The 21,872-nt window shown below is 37.3% G+C and overlaps 1 long non-coding RNA gene across 1 annotated transcript in view; it reads right to left on the bottom strand.

Moving 5' to 3' along the window:
• Positions 1-11,142: 11,142 nt before the first annotated feature.
• Positions 11,143-21,872, bottom strand: part of LOC105375482 (uncharacterized) — a 50,714-nt gene continuing 39,984 nt past the window's right edge. The window contains exon 3 of the long non-coding RNA XR_927924.2: positions 11,143-11,477. This is a non-coding gene — a long non-coding RNA (uncharacterized LOC105375482). The remainder of the gene's footprint in view (positions 11,478-21,872) is intronic.

Genomic DNA, 21,872 nt, shown 5'->3' with positions numbered 1-21,872 from the left:
ATGAGCATTTTTTCATGTGTCTTTTGGCTGCATAAATGTCTCCTTTTGAGAAATGTCTGTTCATATCCTTTGCCCACTTGTTGATGGGGTTGTTTGTTTTTTTACTGTAAATTTGTTTGAGTTCTTTGTAGATTCTGGATATTAGTCCTTTGTCAGATGAGTAGATTGCAGAAATGTCCTCCCATTCTGTAGGTTGCCTGTTCACTCTGATGGTAGTTTATTTTGCTGTGCAGAAGCTCTTTAGTTTAATTAGATCCCATTTGTCAATTTTGGCTTTTGTTGCCATTGCTTTTGGTGTTTTAGACATGAAGTCCTTGCCCATGCCTATGTCCTGAACGGTATTGCCTAGGTTTTCTTCTAGGGTTTTTATGTTTTTAGGTCTAACATGTAAGTCTTTAATCCATCTTGAATTAATTTTTGTATAGGGTGTAAGGAAGGGATCCAGTTTCAGCTTTCTACATATGGCTAGCCAGTTTTCCCAGCACCATTTGTTAAATAGGGAATCCTTTCCCCATTTCTTGTTTTTGTCTGGTTTGACCCATTATTATTTTACAGAGACAGTTAACAACCATCTGACCATCACCTGATGGTTGCCTGACATTCCTGGTTTTGTTGGGGGGGAGCTGGGGTGGAGCCCTCTCCTGCCTTGCTCATGTCTGACTTGCTACCCACTGTAGCAATTTCATCATGAGAAGTTAACTACTCTAAAGATTATCATTTGTTCCTCTTTACTCTTTTGTTTATGTGTATTTAATACAGGCAATATTTCCTTTGCATAAGTGTGCCAAAGAGGCAGAAGGAGATAAGCATTGAGAAACTGGCTCTATATGATAAACAGCTAGCAATGAGGAAGAATGAGAGGGAGAAAAGCCTCTCTGGCCAAGACTTGAGGAGAAATTTGAAGGTTTGGAATATGTGAGACTGGAGTAGCTCCAGAGTACAAGAGAACTGAAAGAAATAAAAATTTATGGGCTGGGCGTGGTGCTTCATGCCGGCAATTTCAGCACTTTGGGAGGCTGATGTGGGTGGATTGCTTGAGCTCAGAAGTTCAAGACCAGCCTGGGCAACATGATGAGACCCTGTCTCTACGAAAAATACAAAAATTAACCAGGCATGGTGCTGCACGCGTGTAGTCCCAGATACTAAGGATGCTGAGGTTGGAGGATCGCTTGAGCCCAGGAAGTCAAGGCTGCAGTGAGTTGAGATAACACCACTGCACTTCAGACTGGGTTATAGAGTGAAACCTTTCTCAAAAAAAATAAAAAAGAATTTATGAGAAGGAATGCCGTTGGCTATCTGTTGGGACCACTGTATATACCCTTTAAGGAATATAGGGAATTATTAGTGTTGCCTTTTTAATAAGTTGAGGTTCTAGGCCATTCTTCCTTTAAAATGACTCCTTATGCAGGCTGAGCCATGTGGAGCCCTGCCATTAATCACTTATTTAATGTAAAGTGTGTGGTGTACATGTAGGACTCTCTTCCTTAATAAACATTTATATAACTTTTTTATTTTTAATAATGTCTTAAAAGTATATATGCCTTTGCTCTTCCCACAATTAAAAAATAATTTTATAAAATCACAAAGAAATGAAACCCTTAATGGATCTAATATTGCCCACCAGGGAAAATGTCATATCTCAGAGAAAAATGTGGAGTTAGCCCTGATGGTTAGCAAGACTTCTTGCAGCAAGACCCAAGCAGTACTAATGCTTATACATAGGAAAAGGGTCACTCTTTGTGAGGTGCTAACAATGTGCCATTCTAAAAGCTCTTCACCTACCCCAGCCAGCAAACCACAATCCTCCCACTCAACCATTTGGGCATGTGAGACATTTACACATCTACACATATCTGGTGACACTTTAGAATTAGAATTGGAGTGCGGTCACAAACCTATGACTCAGGAGCCATAGTCATTCATCTCTTCCAAACTTCCTTCTTTGTTGCCTTCTTTCATGTTGTCATGATAACTTTCTGTTCCATCCAGCCTCAACCCACCACTCAATCTCTAGTAAGTGCAAGTTGCCAAAACTAAAATATTTTGGCTCTTGATTGCTTTAGAAAGTATGTGAGTGTTAGATAGAGCTAGTAAGAAAAAGTCAGAGCATTTTATTTTTTGCTGCCTTTTACAGCTAGAAAAAAAATGTACTGTAGAATGCAATTAGCTAGGGGGATAAAAAAAAATCGTATTTCTATCCAGAACATTTTTGTGTTGCTTACCTTTAAAAACTTTAATTATTCTAATTATATTTTTTAATAAGAAAAATCAGAAAATCTAGTTATATTGTGTTTATTTTAGTTTATTTAGAAAATGGCTATGACTTTTGAAATTCTGGTGACAAAATGTAATGTTCCCCATTAAAATCTCCACTCAAAGCCTTTTGGTCTAATGCCATTTCATCTTACGACTTTAATATTATTAAGTAGGAAATTGATAAATGTACTTTTACCTTTTTTCAAAAAAAATTTTATAACAAATACAAAGTTTTAGAGTTTTGTATGCTTTTTTTTACATAATGTTGTAAGTGCTTTCTAACACCATTAAAATGCTAAAAACTATGATTTTTGATAACCACTATCGCACAAAATAAGGTTCTTCTTGTATCCTCCCCTGCCCCCAACATTAACCAATTTTCAGGACAAATTCCACAAAGTCACAGAGTATAGGGAAGAAATAGGCTTTTTTTGAAGAGAAGGGAAACTTATATAGGCTATGGATCAGTAAGAGGAGAGAAAGAACAGGGCACCCAACCCTCCCATCATTTCTCAAAGACTCCTGCTGGGGCTAGTGTACCAGGAGAAGTGTGCATTCCAATGGAGCACACCCTCATGGAAGTTCCTATTTTCTAGAAAAAGGATGAGAAAGCAGCCTCTGGGTATGAACATGCCAGCTGCATGCCAGCCATTCACAGGCATTGTCTGAGAACGACGCAGTCAGTCACCTTGAGACCTGGAGACCATGGGAAACTGCAGTTCTGACTGCCAGGGGAAGAAGCCACCATCCAGTCCTGTGGGAATGTGAGCTTGGCTGCAGCCTCTCCTTCTGGGAGGAGAATGGGAATCCCAGGTACCAGCTGGTTAGCTGTCTAGACAACCCAGAATGACTCTCTAGGACTATTTTCAGCCATCTTATTCATTACATTACAAATGCATAATAATTAATCACATGTAACTATTATAGTTTTATTTAACCTTTCTTCTGATTGTTGCTATTTAGGTTATTTTTCTATTTTTCACTTTTATTAATAACGTTAAATAACATTGGCTTTCATTAATAATGTTAAAATGAACAACTTTTGCATAAATCTTTATGTGCATTTCCAATTGTCCTTTAGGCTAAATTCATAGAAGTAACATTGCAAGGTCAAATGGCAACAATTTCATTACGATTATTTATATCTCCTGCCAATTTGCCTTCTAGAAAGATTATGCTAATTTACAATTTCATAAGCAGTATACTTATGAAAGTATATACTTTCATAAGCAGTATATGAAAGTGTCTTTTTCACCAATTCTTCCCCAATGGGGTATTATCTTTTTAAATGTATTCTCTATTTTGATAGATGAAGTATAGTATCCTGCTAATATTTAATTAGCATTTCTTTCATTACTAGTGTGAAATGAATGTGGTTTTTAAAAATTGTTTGCTTACTAATTATGCAAGTTCAAATTTCCTGTACTTGATCTTAGTTTATTATTTGGGTATTAATGTCCTATTATTGATTGTGAAGAATTCTTTGTATATTAAGATATTAAACATTTTTCTGTTATATCTGTAGCAAATATTTTCCCAGTTAATTTACATTTTAATTAAAGATATAATTTCTGTTATTCCTTTGAGAACTACACATTTACTCACTGACTTCTGATCAATTATTCCTCATTTCAGACATGTTTTATATTATGAGGAATTTGAAGAAGGGGATGTGTATTTTTATTTGAAAGTGTTTTTTGTGTGTGTGCATATAACTAATAGTAAAATCAAATGCAGCCTTTGAAGAAAAAGAAAATTAGAGCAAGACATTTTAATTCATTTACTAACATTTCTAGAAAAATATTTGCCAATGTCAAAAATAGTCTTTCTAATTAAATTTCATCTGGTTTCCAAATATGTACTATGATTTTCTAGTTTGAAAGGTATATAGTATGAAGCTTATTTTTATTTCTTGAACACGGACTGCATATGTAGTAACAGTAGATAGAGGAAGTATTAAGGAAAGGCATACATTGTGGATTATCAACTAAATAGTACAAAAATTTCTTTAAAGGCAAAAATAAGCATGTTACTTACAGTAATGGGGTTAATATCAAGAGAATCTATTAAAATTTGAAAGTATCATTTCTCTTAATAAATTTTGCAGAGCTCTTGTTCTTTTAAAGCCTTGTGCATATATAACGTGGATAAAAACTAAAACTAAGCTACATTTTGAGATATAAAAGCCAAAGAAAAAAGATTAAGAAGAAAATACATCAAAATGTTGATGATATTATTCGTTGTCTTAATGGTAGGTTGCAACTGATTTTTGCTTATCTTGCCATTTCTCTATTTTCCAAATTTTCAACAATAAATACATATTACTTACATAATCAGGAGGTGGGGGGAGAACTTGGATAAACAGAGAAAAATATATGAAAAGAAAGCTCTCTTGACCAGTTTTAATTCCCAGGCTCTCTAATGCCCCACATCCTTTCTCATTAATTTTTAGTCATTTGAAATGTTTTCATGTCTCTCCTGACAACACAATCAGCTACTCTACAATAGTCCAATTTATTCTAGGTTCTAGGTTATTCCTGAACACAAGGTTTCTCAAAAAGTAAACTGGCCTATATATTTCAGCTTTCTTTGATTTCTAAAAATAATCTCTGTGTTTCTCCATAACTTTTTGCCTCTAGCTTATCCTAACCTAAAGCTACCTGGCTTTGCCTACCTTTTCTATCCTCCTCTTCCCCTACCAGGAGATACAAACCTCAGTTCCCCAATGTTCATGATTTGAAAAGCAGGTTAAATCGTGATTCAACATATCTGTGTGGAATTACAATCTACTTTCCCAGGCTGTTTTCCTCACAGGCTAGCTGATGTCGGCCAGAGGAGTGACAGAACTTTCACTGTCTCTAGTTAAGGGGAATGTGACATTGAATGTCATTGTTCACCCTGGAATAGTATAGCCCAGGCCCTCCACACTGTTGCCCAGGTTACAAGTTGATCTGCATGAAACATATAATGTCCACGAAACTAAGGATCCTGCAGAGCCAATCATTTAAGGGGACAAATCATATAAGAAAAGAAAGCTGTTCGTAGAGTGTTCGTGCTTTCATTCTTAGAAGAAAGGCTAATTTCAAAACTACAACCTCGTGGAGACAGGGAAGGTGACAGGAAAGGGCAGATAATGGTTTGCTTTTTACTAAAACATAAATATTTTATATATGAAAACTGAAACCAGCTTCTGCTCTGGTGTTTGGGTTTTATTCTCTAGCTAACATTTGCTTTTTCAAATTTTAGCAGTAATATTATAATACAACAGCTTTTCCTAATATTGCTACTGTGCCTCACTCAGCCATCATGGATTACCTCTTTAAATGTTGCTTCAGTTACATATATAGTCATTATTAATATTTCAGGCATATGTTTTACAAATTATTTCCCATATTTAAATTCTTAGTGGAACAAAATAGTCCCTGGTCCTCTTTTCCTACCTATATGGGGGAAGGGTGGGGATCAGAGAGAGAAAATTATTATAAGCTAAGGTCAGGGTCACAAGTAAAGTGTTCATTCCCATCTGAAAAATATATTTCAGTCAATTGTTTGGTTAAACAATTCTAAGAGCATAAAAAGGTCCTTGTATTTACATGGAACACAGCTTGTATTTACATACAGTTTAAGGTCTTGATGTGTAAACATGAGAAGATGATGCAGTCTCTCCCTCAGGAAATAACACCTACTTCCTTTGTGCTGAGGAACTGGGAAGCTCTCTAGTGTGAAACGAAAAGAATCATTCAAGGGAAGTGTATTAGGTTGTTCTTGTGTTGCTATAAATAAATGCCTGAGTCTAGGTGATTTATAAAGAAAAGAGATTTAATTGGCCCACGGTTCTGCAGACCGGACAAGTATGGTGCTGGCAATGGCTTCTGATGAGGGCCTCAGGAAGCTTACAATCACAGTGGAAGGCAAAAAGGAGCAGGCAGTTCGCAAGGCAAGAGCAGTAGCAAGATGAGGGGAGATGCCACACATTATTAAACAACCAGATCTCACGAGAACACACTAACTATCATGAGGAAGGAAGGAAGGAAGGAAGGAAGGAAGGAAGGAAGGAAGGAAGGAAGGAAGGAAGGAAGGAATATATAGTCGTGGGGTATGGGGCAGGGGAGTAGAATGGCAGGCAGACAGGCTGCTGATTTAAAGTGGATTAACCAACTCTGAAACACAAAGAAATCTGGAGAAACAGTGACTTATATTAAGAAAAACAATTTTAACTTACTATTTGCAGGAGCAGTGGGGAGCAAATATTAGATGTGTGGTCATATCAAAAAAGAATATTAAATTCTATCTTATAAAGCTGGAGCAATCACAACATGTAGTTGAGACTTTTTTTAAAAGGCACAAAAGACAATAAAAGACTGAAAAGAAAATTAAATTGATATTATATCTTCTGAGTCTGTGGACATGGCCAACTGTGCACGGTGCAGCAGGAGCTGGAGGGGATGGGCACTGTGTCAGCATGAAAGAGGTTGGTTACAGCACACTTGGATTTAGAGAGCTTTTGGAAGATGACAACCTGGTTTGGTTATTTTTTTATTTGTCAGAGTGTATTAAATGTTGTTAATTTCATAAAATAAAGAAAAAAGTCAGACAAAGAAAACTGAATATGATAGAGCTTAAGATACTAAAAGAATATCTACAAAGACTGGGAGTGGGATGGGGAAGTTAATTACCAACATTCATTCTGATTCTTCTACCTATATTTTATCAGAGCCTTTGGATCTCCTTTTAAACACAACTTTTCTTTTCCTTGTAACGTCACTCCAAATTTTCCTTATTTCCCTTCCAACTTCTAATATTTTTTCCTCCACTTCTTTTCATCCTCGTTTTCCTTTAATTCCAATTTTTCTTTCCTTAATGCAAGAGATATGCAAAGTATAGAACAAAATGAAAGGGTCATTTAAAAATTAGATGGAGAAAAATTTGCAGCAACATGGCAGAACATTTAGGGTACCAGTTCAAGTCTGTTCCTCCTCTCCTTTGCAAAAACAGGACCAAAAAGAAGGATAAAGAGGAGAGAAGAAGGTGGAGAAGGAAAGAAAGAAATCAAGAGGAGGAATAGAGAGGAGGAAGAGAAGGAAGGAGAAGGAGAACAAGAAAGAAGAAAGAAGGGAATTTCCACAAATAATATCCAGTGACCTGAGCTTGAAACACTCAGGAGTAACTCAGCCAAATTGCTCTCCCTGGGAGTCAAGGGAGAAGCATAAGGGTGGCAATGAGGAAGGTAAGGTATAGTATTACTGTTGAATATAAAACAAAGGGGACAATGTGTAAGTTGGATTGTTAAAATATATAGTCAATGCTTTTAGTGATGAAAGCAAAAGTATGATAATCTATTATAAAAGTTTCTTTTTTTGCCCATTGCTATCAAATGGCATACTAATTAGAAAGCAAAATCATGGTGAAGTGCATTGTTTACAAAACATGTAACAATTTAAATTATAGTACATATAAATTCTTAAATACTGCCCATACAACTTTTAATAATTCAGTTTAGTATGTAGTTGCTAGTTCAGATAAATGGTTTCAGCATAGTTATTTATTAAATAATGAAAGATCATTTATTAAGAAGGCTGGAAGTGGCTAGAAAAATATTCAGGTTGGTTTCTTTTTATATGTTCTTATAATAAATGTGAAAATCCTGTAAGTTTAAGCAAAGATCAGATTTGCAACCTATTTGAACACCAAAAACTAAGGGCTGTAATATTGCCAAACGTTTAGTTTTACTCCATATAATACCATACTATAAGGCTTCACATTTTTAAAAAGTTGATGATTATACCCCCACTGATTTTATGATCATTATGAATCCAATTTTCCTGTGGAATTTCTAAAGAATAAATTTTTAGAGAAGTGGAAATATAATCATTAAATAAAACATATTTTAGAATACATAGTGAAGCTATCAGTAAATTCAATTTATATTAGTAGGACAACTATGCTAGGGCAAACTACTTAAATGGTTTGTAAAGAATAAATGTCTTTTTAAAATGTTTTCTCTAATTCAATCAAAATTGCTAACATCCATTCTTTGTTCAAGACTGTGTATTAGGCAATAAGGTAGATTAAATGTAATAGGTGAGAAACACATACAAATAATTACAAAACCACACTTGCTTTTATGAATGCTTTAATAGTTCAATAGTGCAAAGAGAGAATGGGTGTGGGTGATATGAAAATAATATTGGCAAAATCTGGAAAATCCCCATGGAGAAGCAAGAATCATGCAGTGCTTTCCACAGACATTACAGGAAAAGGAAGTTTCAAGAAGATGGAAAGTAAGGACAAAGTCCCCTAAGTAGAAAAGCTTTTACTCCCAAAGTTTCTTCACTGTATCGATTTGAAATTTGTTCCCCTGTGATCTCAAGCCACTGATATTTCTCCTCTCTCTGGGATCACGCGCACTAAAACTATTCATTGCTTTAAAAGAAAAAGCCATTGTGACATCTTGAGTGATTTACTAAACGTTTCTGTTCCTCACTTTTCAATAGAATCAGGATAATAATAGTATTTGCCTCATAGGTTTGTTTTGAGGTTTGGACTGTTTTATTCATGTTGCATACTCAATACAGTTCTCGGCACATGTACTGAGTTCATTTACATTAGGTGCTCTGAACAGTGCCTAGTTCAGTAATGTTAGCTGTCATTATTATTATCATCATGTCTGTCATCAAAAACAATAAAAAGCCTGTTAAATAAGAAAGCTTTTAATAATTGGTGATTGTATCACTGGGTCTTCTGTAAATACACATCCTCTATCCTTTCTTAACTTATAATTTTAAAAAAACATATTTTTTCCTTTTATTTTTATTTGATACATAAGTATACATATTTATGGGATACAGAATGATATTTCAATACATGTATGTAATGTGTAATGATCAAATCAGGGTAATCAGCATATCTATCATCTCAAACATTTTTCATTTTTTAATGTTAGGAGCATTCAAAATCCTCTCTTCTGGCTTTTTGAAAATATACTTTAAATTATTGTTAATCATATTCACCACACAGTGCTACAGAACTCTAGAACTATTCCTCCCATCTAGCTGTAACTTTATATCTTTTAACCAACCCTTCCTATCTTTCCCTCTCTCTACCTTTCCCAGCCTCTAATAACCACAATCCTACTATTTGCTTCTATGAACTGAATTTTTTAGCTCCCACATATAATGAGCTGAATTAAGCTCCCACATACAAGCGAGAACATGTGGTATTTATCTTTCTGTGCCTGACTTATTTCACTTAATATTGTGTTCTCTAGGCTCATCCATGTTGCTGCAAATGACAGTATTTTATTCTTTTATGGCTGAATACTATTCCATTTTTTTGTGTGTGTGTGTGTGTGTGTGTGTGTGTGGCTCATATTAAATAAAACTTTTTAAAATTATACTTTAAGTTCTAGGGTACATGTGCACAACGTGCAGGTTTGATACATAGGTATACATGTGTCATGTTGGTTTGCTGCACCCATCAACTCATCATTTACATTAGGCATTTCTTCTAATGCTATCCTTCCCCCAGCCCCCCACCCCCTGACAGGCCCCAGTATGTGATGTTCCTCGCCCTATGTCCAAGTGGTCTCATATGCAGCCATGAAAAAGGATGAGTTCATGTCCTTTGCAGGGACATGGATGAAGCTGGAAACCATCATTCTCAGCAAACTATCACAAGGACAGAAAACTAAATTAAACTTTTAAGTGTTTCCTAGCTGTCAAAGTTTTGAATCACTTTATTATCTTCATTATTTTCTTCCATATCTGTTCATTGATCATAGTAGTTCTAAGGGGGTTTGCAAAAGTCTTTTTAAAGTTGGTAAAGCAAAACTGGATGGCAACACTTCCTGCTCCCAAGTGCAAATTAAATAAACAACAATAAAAAATGACAAATTTATTTAAAACAAAGAAAAAAATAGAACATTCTGGGATGTCACTGAAGGAAAAAGTAAATTGATGAAATCCTAAGGATTTTCACTAATACTGTCACTGAGAAGAGAAATGCACTATAGGGTGAATAGAGAGGAGAAAAGGAGAGGGAAAATCTTGGAGAGTAGAAGCCAATAGGACTTACTCATTTTTAATCTGCCACAGATACTCACTTGCCTACAATCCAGAACTTTATACCTGATAATTATCCCAATGTACTTCAGAACAGAGCTGCTTTTAATGCCCTGTAAATATGAATCACCAGGACTACAAGTTAGGGGACTTTGTCTATAGTCCTGATTTAATGATTAAGTAAATCAGTGATCTTGGACAAATCATTTGAACTCTCCAAGCCTCCAGTTTTTCATCTGTAAAACAGATTTTAGATTATTTTTATTAAGAGGCATGTGTCTTTTTTAAGTTTGGAGAGCTCAGCCTGAAGAGATGTTGATCCTAAAGTCCTGGACAGATGGTGGAGAGGGCATGACTCTCCTTCCTGCTTGTTGTGTATTGCAGGAAGGTGGTGATGTGCTGCACGGGTTGCACGCAGATCTGTCAGGTAAATGCCTGGTTTCGACAATCTCTGGTTCTGTTTCAGCCTTTAAAACTATCATCTGTAACCTGATACTTTTGATCATTCTGCATTCGTTTAGGGACAACCTCGAAGTATAAGTAGATTAACACGATAAAAGTTTATTTCTTGCTCACATGAAGTCCAATGAGTGAGAGGAAGAGGGGCTGTTTATGTTCTGTAGTCCCACCATCTCCTCAGAACTCCCAGTCCTTGGCTGAATTCTTTGACATTAGAGGACTGACAGAGGAAGAGAGAGAGCAGAGAAGATCATGCAGTTGCCCTTATGGGCTAGACCAGGGTGTCCAGTCTTTTAGCTTCCCTAGGCCACACTGGTAGAAGAAAAATTGTCTTGGACAAAACATAAAATACACTAACGATAGTTGATGAGCTGAAAAAGAAAAAAAAATTGCAAAAAAAAAAAAATCTCATAATGTTTCCAGAGAGTTCACGAATTTGTGTTTGGCCACATTCAAAGCTGTCCTGGGCCACATGCAGCCCACATGCAGGCTATGGGTTGGACAGGCTTGGACTAGACTGAAAGTGGCATATAACTCTTTTGCATTCCATTTACTAGACCTCAGTTATATAACAACACTTAAGGGCGAGCAATGTCTCTCTGCGAGCCCAGGAGCACGAGAAAATAGATGACTGTGAATACACAGCTATCTGGCACATAGGATAATCTTTAAGTCATGGTGTTGTGCAAATCCAGATGAAATCTAAAATGCAAACAGACAAGAAAATGTTTTAATGTTTCTTCTGTGAGGGATGCATAATATAAAGTGTTAAATGGAGAACCTGAACAAATGAAAGTCACACTCCTCTGGTAAGCACTATGAAAAAAGACTGTTTTGTGAATGCAGAACTTTAAATTACAAGCAGAAACATTCATAAGGTGTATTATGGATGTTAAAATCCTTCAGAACATGCTCAAGTTCCCTGTTAATGACAAATCTATGCCAATAAAATTATCAGACCTTTTCTGATGACCCCGTGTGTAAGAGAAGCCCCGCTGGGAGGCTCATATAACATCTGCCCATATCATATTCCTTTTTACAGAAAGCACTCTTATGCCTGCACTTTTCTTAGCATCACATTTACAGGCCATTTCAGCAGTAGCACATCACTGTATTCTTGCAGCTTCCAAACAAGAATTACTCAAAGGTTTGGAAAGTGCTGTGTAATCAGAAACCATTCAAATTAAGTCTGTATTTGCTTGTAAAATGACCCACTCTCTTTTCCTCTTCCTCTTTAATGATGCTTATTATTTTCATGTATGAGGTTAAATGTCCATTCATGCTTAGCCAGTTTGCTCCTGACATTCATTTCAGGCTTTTGCCACAATGATGTCGGGATTTTACTCTGGGGATCACAAATTGGTTAGCTGAAGTTACTTATTAAAATTATGTAATGTCTAGTTCAAAGGCAAAAATTTGAGAAAATATAACAAGTAGCAAGGATTGCTAATGTTTAGGTAGTTGACTACCTTCCCATTTACTATCAGAGAAGTGGATTATAAAGGGAGGGATTAAAACAATACTACATGCTAGAGCTGTAATAAGGCTGACACATCCTTCCCCAACATTTTTTCTGATCATTACTGTCTCTTATTTGTTTGTGAAAAAAAAAAAAAGAATCAAAAAGCAGCATTTTCTGAAGTGCACAATGTGTACTCCTGAATGATTTTAGGTTTCATGAAGCATTATATAAAATTTAATCACATAAAGATTTTCCATTTTAATTATCTTTCAGTTGATTACACCAAAAAGAAAGTTACAACTTCTTGCTAGCATGTCTTAAATACACCTCTAAATCTTTTTTTTTTCTTTTTTTTTTTTTTTTTTGAGACAGAGTCTCACTCTATCACTCAGGCTGGAGAGCAGTGGTGCAATCTTGGCTCACTGCAACCTCTGTCTCCCGGGTTCAAGAGATTCTCCTGCCTCAGCCTCCTGAGTAGCTGGGATTACAAGCGTGCACCACCACACCTAGCTAATTTTTTTGTATTTTTGGTAGAGATGGGGTTTCACCATGTTGGCCAGGCTGGTCTAGAACTCCTGACCTCAAATCATCCACCCGCCTTGGCCTCCCAGAGTGTTGAGATTACAGGCATGAGCCACTGCACCCGGCCCAGTAGGCCTCTAAATCTAACTGATCTCTTCAAATAAATAGAGAGAAAGCCTTAGGCCCAAGGCCTTTGGCAGGCAATAGCATTTTGTTGTAATTATTGTGTGATTTCAATACATTTATTTTTATAAAGACTGTCTACTCCAAGTCATCTAAGTTATTTAAATTAGTTATATTGGGCCAGAGTGGTGGCTTACACCTGTAATCCCAGCACTTTGGGGAGCCAAGACCAGAGGATTGCTTGAGGCCAGGAGTTCAAGACCAGCCTGGGCAACATAGCAAGACCCTGTCTCTACAAAAATTTTAAAAATTGGCTGGACATTGTGGCATATGCTTGTAGTCTTAGCTACTTAGGAGGCTGAGGTGAGAGGATCACTTGAGCCCTGGAGTTTGAGCCTGCAGTGAACTTTGATCATGCCACTGCACTCCAACCTGGACAACAGAGTGTGACTCTGTCTCTAAAAAAAAACAAAAGAAACAGTTATATAAAGTCAATTTTTAAAAAATATTAAATCAGTAATATTAAAAGCAGACATGGATATAACAAGTATTATGAAGATAGTATAAGACTGAATGAACTTTGGAAAATAATGCAAGGGGAAATTATGCACAATAGACCTATTCACCATATCTGTGGTTGTCATTACCATGAATAATACACAGAAAGAGGCAATACCATTAGATGTAATTTTTTTTTACTAAAGCTACTGTATTTATATTTTGCATTGTTCTTCATAGGAACATTTCATCCTAAAGAATAGTTATTTACATATGTAAAACCAGATTGCATTATAATACAGGTTGAGCTGCTATTACTAATAACTAAATTTTAAAATGGCTCAGATATGATAGACGATTTTCTCTTTCTCCTGTAATGGTCATACGGCAAGTGGTCCAGAAAATTCCCATTTTTCTTGTTGTTCCTCTCTCATCCCTGGAGCATCTACAGATTCAAAGATATATTAGTGTCCTGTCTACATCCCAGGTAGCAGCAGAATGAAGGAGTCCAAAAGAGAGAAAGCTCCCTCCCTTTAAATGACAAATCTTGGCAAGAAATAATTCATATGGCCATATTTAAATATGATGGAGGCTGGTTGGTCAAATGGTTTACCGAAGATTTCATTAACATAGAAAAAGAAGGAAATATATATTGATGAACAAATAGCGGTCTGCTTAAACTCCAAGGGATTTCTCAATCACAGAAACAATGAAATTATATTTATATACTGTTATCTTTACAGCATTTTTATCTTTGTTCCATTTCATACCAAATTAAATACAAACCCGTTGACCTAATGTTCAAGTCCCTTCAAAATTGTCCACAATATAAAAATATGGCATTAAGCTGCAAAGACAGTTTGAAATGACTAGAGATGTTTCTTTTAAAAACCTACACAATGTGACTGACTTTATCTAGGTAAGTCTGACAGTTAAGCAAGATGGGAATCTGAGCAGTTAAGAGCACGTGTTTAGGATTTGTTTCCTGAAGATAGTAACTGACACTAAAGCCTAGAAAGGTATTCTTATACATTTAGCTCTGCTAAATGACCAGCAGGTCACAGAAGGTAAACGTAAGACTTCCACAGAAGATGCTGACACTGACAAATGAAAATGAGGTTAAATAGAGTCATTATAAAAATCCCTCTAGTAAAACTTCAGAAAAACAGAAGTTAAAGCCAGATGCTTCTATTACCCAGCTCATCCAATTTAAGTCTACTCAAGAATCGATAAAGCTCTATTCTGAGATTTCTTAGCGACTGTTCAAGGTTTTGGGAGTTGCAGGAGGCTTGATTAGCATTTGCCGGTGCTGGGACATTTTTTAGGAGATACCACAAATCATATAACTTCAGTTATGAGAAGTCCATGAAATATGTCCTAGATATAAGAATCTTAAATAACATCCATCAGGATATCACCATTGGGAAAATAACATCATATGTTTCAATAACCTGGAAGCAACTGTGACATGTGACAAGCAGAAAGCTGAGTGAGATTCCCCCCCTGCCCCCAGCAAGTAACATAAATACAATTCCAATATGAAAATGAAAACAGAGCGAAAACAATGATTAAATAACTGGAGTAACAGTACTTATTACTCAAATGATATCAGAATATAAGAATTCACCTATATTTCAGGACAGAGCATGTTCTCATTCAAACATATTTGACCAAACACCATTTCTTTTTCAAATACTGGAATATTTTTAAGTGTGAAAAAATGTTTCTATCCATTCTTCAAAATTAGTGCTGAGGCTGGGCCCTGTAATCCTAGCACTTTGGGAGCCTGAGGCGGGCAGATCACTTGAGGTTAGGAGTTCGAGACCAGCCTTGCCAACATGGAGAAACCCCATCTCTACTAAAAATACAAAAATTAGCCAGGCATAGTGGTGCATGCCGGTAATTCCAGCTACTCAGGAGGCTGAGGAAGGAGAATTGCTTGAACTCATGAGGCGGAGGTTGCAGAGAGCCAAGGTTGTGCCACTGTACTCCAGCCTGGGCATTTAGTGCTGGATATGAGGACATCTGCTCAATTGTTATTGGATATAGTTCTAAGCAAAATTGTAAAGTAGGCAGAGCCTACATCTCCACTTCCAGTCTAGTCGTTCTATAATTTCATCTTTTTTGGCCTCTTCTCCTAATCATTCAAGAACCTTGTCTCCTTATGTTCTCTTCTACTGTGTTCTTCTACCTCTTTCCCCTGTCCTAGCCTTGAGCCTGCACCATTGTAGTCTAGTCCTCAGAAAAGGAGCTTATAGATAATGGTAACAGTACAACATATGTTATATTCAACTTTAGAGAGAAAAGACTGACTATGGACAGGGTAACTGGATATGTGTTTGGGATCTCATTCCCACCTCTTCCACCAACAGTACCCTGGTTTCCCATGAAAGAGTTTGCTTCCCACTCATTCTTGGTCACGTAATTTGTGTTGGATGGAACCCCATTCCCAGCTCTAGGGATGAGCCATAAGATCACTTTTTGCTATCTGGAGTCAAGTGCCTATGGAAGGCCAGAGTTTTAGTGGAAATAAAGAGTATAGGAATTATGAGATTGGTTGGTTGCTTTTAAGTACACACACACACAAAAAAAAAAAGGGAAAGAAAGAAAGAAATAAAATGATGAGGTTTGGGGTATGACTGATCTCTGATCTCGTCACCCAGGTACTGAGCATAGTACCCAATAGGTAGTTTTTCTAGCCCTTGCACTCCTCACTACCTCCCCTTCTAATAGTCCCCAGTGTCTGTGGTTCCCATCTTTGTGTCCATTTGAACAACTAAAAAAAAAAAATAATGAGCTTGGAACTTTCAAGTCCCAGCTCAAGGTATGGGGAATGAACCAGGAAACTTCTGTGTCTCCCTTCAAAAAGTCCTATATCCTATAGCTAAAGGATTGAGGGTTTTGTTATCAAACTCAAAGTCCAATCATTCAGGTGGCTAAATTATATCATACATAGAGTTCACAGCCACAGATTCTCTTACGTTAAAGTGAGAGCATTGATTGGAAAAAAGTGAAAACCATGAAAATTGCCATAAGGGCATCTGGGCACATTCCAGAGAAGCTAGGGACTGTGAACCTCCAAATTCCACTGTGACTTCCTTGTCATAGAAGCATCCCATTCTTGCAATCTAAGGAGATTAGACTCCTCTTGCCTAAATAACCTGCAATGACCTTTCCAAGACAGTTGCCTTACACAAAAATCGTAATCTTCCTCTTTTCCTTACTCCTAACAGATAATTACATTAAAATCTAAGGTATTGAGCACAAAATATGATCTGGGAGAAGGTAGCATACATACTAATTGCAATATTTTGCCAACATACATTAACTAAAACCTAGAGAATATTTATCATAACGGATTCTAAGAGTTTCAAATCAGGTAGAAGAAATGGCCAAATTGAATGATACAGTGGAATTAACCAGATTTAATTTAATGTGTTAACTAAAGTAGCTTGGAGTGGCTCTGTGGGTTCAATTGCTTGACTGAAACTCAGAATCAAAGGTGGTCTATGCTGATGGAAATTGAGATATCAGAGTTACCTTGGTATTCTGTAGAAACAGTTATCAAATGCCAGGCGCGGTGGCTCACGCCTGTAATCCCAGCACTTTGGGAGGCCGAGGTGGGCGGATCACGAGGTCAGGAGATCGAGACCACGGTGAAACCCTGTCTCTACTAAAAATACAAAAAATTAGCCGGGCATGGTGGCGGGCCCCTGTAGTCCCAGCTACTCGGGAGGCTGAGGCGGGAGAATGGCGTGAACCCGGGAGGCGGAGCTTGCAGTGAGCCGAGATCGCGCCACTGCACTCCAGCCTGGGCGACACAGCGAGACTCTGTCTCAAAAAAAAAAAAGAAACAGTTATCAAATATTTAGGGAAAATGAATGCTATAATGATTTTGTTATATGTGACCCCCTTACTCATCTTCCAATTGTACATCCCAGGAAGTATACTTACACTGGAAGGGGAATACCAGCACCCTTGAAGTCCTCTGTCATAGCTATTCTCTAGAGGCCAGAAGTAATAGTGGGAAATGCTGCTATTAAAATAAGTCATCTGAATTCAGTCTGGGATGATGCAATCCCAGTATAATAAGAGCCACGTTTCAGGTCTTAATTGCCAGAGTCAAAGTAGGTATGGTTATTATAATGGGAGGCAGACTAGTTTGAACAGCAATGATCTTTGGTACTGGTTTATTGATTATGGTTATCCTAGTTCTAAAATATACGGCAGGAAGAATCACTGGAACCTGGGTGGCGGAGGTTGCAGTGAGTGGAGATCATGCCACTGCACTCCAGCCTGGGTGACAGAGACTCCATTTCAAAAAAATAATAAAATAAAAGTAAAATATATGGCAGGCTACAAACATTGTACTTTATTTGAATAATCAGAGCAATTCTTAGCATAGTAAACAGAAATCTAACTTAAACCACCATCATAGAGAGTTCTGGTCCCTCAACCAATTCCCAGACTTGAGCTGGTTTACAGACACAACATCCCTTAAATGAAAGAAGGCCTGGGTTCCTTGAGGAGTGACCTTTCTACATTGCCTAAATTTATCTTGTAACTTTTCTTCCTAGCCTTCCCCAAAGGGACTATGGACATTTACCAAAGTTACTATGCATTGAGGAAAGGAAAACACCAAACTTTGAGGGAATTTTTGGACCTTAACTCTAAATTAAATCTAATTTGGGGGAGAAAAAGCCCACTTCTTCTTCACAAGTCCAGACAGAAGCTTATGGAAGCCAGATGATAAAGCTTTGATGTATGTCTGTCTGACAGTGGCCCCAGTAGGTCTTCTACTCACCCTGCAATAATTTCTTCAGCCCCAGAAAGCAGATTTGAAATAGACATATTTAACAATTGGCAGACTCCTCAAAGCAGTTTCCTGACTCAAGTGAGGGCTATTATAGTAGGAAAGGCCAAATAGAAGCCACTAGAAATGTGAATGCACTGAATTATGATAAATTTAATTAGATGGTAACTCCAGTTGCAGCGACTATTCTAGATGTGGTTTCTTGACTATAACAAATCAACATAGCCCTTGGTACCTGGTATGCAGCAATTGAACTAATGGGTGAATGTTGTTTTTTTTTCTTTTCTTTACACTTACTTGTAATGATCACCAGGAGTTGTTTGTTTTCAACTCTTCATACCTCTGTCATATTTCCTTTTCAAGCACTTTGATAACCTCTTCATCCCATAGGACATCATGCTGGTCTAGCACAATAATATCACATTGATTGGAACTTTCTGGTGAGCAGGAAATGGAGGCATCAGTATGACACATGTAGACCAAAGGGTGGGAAAGAACACCCATTAAAATTCAGGGATCTCACACCTTAATGAAATTTCTAGGAGTTCAGTGATATGGGGCACATTGAATTGGCCCTTATGATGAAAAAGCCTCTCCTACCATGATGAAAGAGACCTGGAGGCTTCTTCGTAATTTGGGGGGCATCAACTAATTTATTTGAGTGTGTTCTTTCAAACCATTTACTAAGAAATGTGAAAGGCTGCAAGTTTTGAGTGGGCCGAAAGCAAAAGACAACTCTGCAACAGTTCCAGGCTGCTATGCAAGTTGTTCTGAAGTTGGGTCATATGACCCAGAAGATTCACCAGTGTTTGAAGTGTCTGTGGCAGATAGGGATGCTGAATGCAGTCTTTGACCAGCCACTGCAGGTGAAATACAGCATAGACCTGTAAGATTTTAGCACAAAGTTATGCTGTCCACTGTAGACAACTATTTCTCTTTTGAAAAATGGGTATGGCTTACCAGTGGGGCCAAATAGAGATGAATTCTTTATCATTGGCCCTAAAGTTTCTGAGCTGCCCATGATGAACTGGGAGTTATATGGCCTCCAAGCTATAAAGTTGAGTGGGAACAGCAATACTTCTTCATCAGGAAAAAGCAGTATAGATGAGATCAAGACTAAGTAGGTCCTGAGGTATGAGTTTAAGCAAATGGCTCCAACTCCTGCAGCTCCTACTAGAGAAACATTTCCTCTCTCAGTCTACACCAATCATTTTATAAGACTTTCACCGTGATCAGTTGAATGATAAAGAAAATATTCAGATGAAGAAATTGTATTCTGCACAATATTCTGGCATGACCCAAAAGTGAGGAACTGCAATGTTACAGCCCTACTTCAGGGGTGGCCCTAAAGGATAAAAGGAAATCCTCCCAGTTGGCAGACTTTAGAACAATACTCCTGATTTTTCATTTTGCATGAAAAAAGAGATGTTTCAGTATGTGGATCTACACAGATTCATGAGCATTGATAATGGTTTGGCTTGATGTCAAAAATTTGGAATGAACACTGTTAGAAAATTAATGACAGGCAGGTTTGGGGATGAGATATGTGACGTCTCTGAATGGGCGCAGAGAGTAGGAATGTTTATATCAAATGTAAATACTCACTAATGAGCGATCTCAGCAAAAGAGGAACTTGATGATCAAATGGCCCAGATACCTCATTTTTAGCTGTCACTCAGCCTCTTTCCACAGCCAACTCCATCCTTCACAATGTATTCATGAACACAGGGGTAATGGCAGCAGGGATAGAGGTTTCGCTTTCACTCAGTATCATGGCCTTCCACTCACCGAGACTTTACTACTTCTGAGTGCCCAGTTGGCCAACAGCAGAGATCAACACTGATTCTCTAAAATAACTCCCTGGGAGATAAATGGCACCACTCCCCTATGAAAAAGAAAGCATTATGTTCTCTTTGGAATAGGCACTTATTCTGGGTATGTATTTGTCTTCCTTACCTTTAATGCTTCTAATAAAAACCACCATTTTTGGATTTATGGAAAACCTATTCATCATTAAGCTATTCCACAGAGCCTGGCTCTCTACCAAGGAACTTGTTTTAGAACAAATAAGCTTCATCATTGGACTTATGATAATGAAATCCACTGAGCTGGCCTGATACTATGGTATAATGGACTTTTGAAAGTGCGGTTACAGTGTCAGCTAGTTAACACATTGTAAGGATGGCTAATATCCTCCAGTGTGGGCTATATGCTCCAAATCAGAAATTAATACATGGTGGTGATTCTCTTGTGGTAAGGATTACTGGGTCCAGAAACTACCAGGTGAAAACGAGAGTGGTTCCTCCTATTAGTACTCCCAGGAATCCCCTAGCAAATATTTTCCTTTTTGTCACCACAACTTTAAACTGTACTGGTTTAGGTCCCAAGGGATGAATACTTTGACAAGGGAACACAACAATTGTTTCTTTAGTTTTGAAGCTGAGAATGTGACCTGGCTATTTTGAACTATTATACAACCGAATCAACAGGCAAAAAGAAAAAAAAAAGAAAAAAAAAAAGAGAGAGAGATTACATCAACTGGGATTTTTTAATTCTATCTATCAAAGAGAATTTGAGTTTTTACTATATAATGAAACAGGTAGGGATGCAGGAGACCTTTGGGGATATGGGTCAGTTTTGATCATGCAGAAACAGATGCTAAGTCACAGAAGTATGAAAGAATTAATGAGGTATTGCTTGAGAAAAACTAAAGAGAGAGGAAGCAGAAATATACAGCAAAAGCCTTCAGACTGTCTTGAGTTACCTGGGGAGTGTATTTAGTGGGTGGAATAGGGAAAAGTACATCTGCTCCATCTTTCTGGAAGAGAAAGTCCAGTTTGTGTCCTTTTAAAATGTAACTTATCATTGCATCCCATACATTAAGCTCTTCAATGATCTCCCTTGATATCTAAAGTAAAACTCTAAGTTCTGACAATGGTGAACAACATCCTATATGAATTAGCTACCTTCTTGCCTAACATTTTCCTCCTACTCAATCTCTAGTACCTAGAAGAGGGCTGGCCCAAAATACATAATCAATAAATACTCTTGGATTAATAAACTGAGTAAGTTATCTCTTTTTAATATTTAAATCAAACACTTGGCCTGATATCAGGAACCATGAATATAATGAAATATGCCCATGAATATGGCACATTGCATGGTAAGTGGGACCTTGTAGATGTAATTAGGGTTACTAATAAATTGATGTCAAAATGGGAGTGTTGTGGATTATCCAGGTGGACCTAATGTCATCACATCAGCCCAAGCAGAAGAAGAAAGCAGAAGAGAAAGACAGAAATGTGAAGCATGAGAAAGACTTGACATGCTGGCTAATATGGAGGGAGCCACATTCAAAAGAGAGTGAATTAAGAAGTTGAAAGAGGTCCCCTGGCCAAAAGGCAGGAGGAAAACAATGACCTCAGAGACTTTCAATTGAAGTAAAGCTTCTACTTCTTGAACATTTTCCTTCCACTTCATTATTCTTATTTGCAACCTAACAATTCAATATACCCTTAACATACTTAGAGTTTATTTGTTTATTAGTTTCACTCATTTTTAAGAATTCCAAGAGACAGTAGAAGAGAAGTACTCTTCAAACTTCTACACTTATGCTGTCTTCATTGAACCACATTCAACTAGGAAGCACCTAAGCCGCTTACCTATGTGCATCTTCCTG

The sequence above is a fragment of the Homo sapiens genome, chromosome 7, assembly GCF_000001405.40.
Source record: "Homo sapiens chromosome 7, GRCh38.p14 Primary Assembly".
NCBI lineage: Eukaryota > Metazoa > Chordata > Mammalia > Primates > Hominidae > Homo > Homo sapiens.
This window is presented reverse-complemented; position numbering and strand designations above follow the sequence as displayed.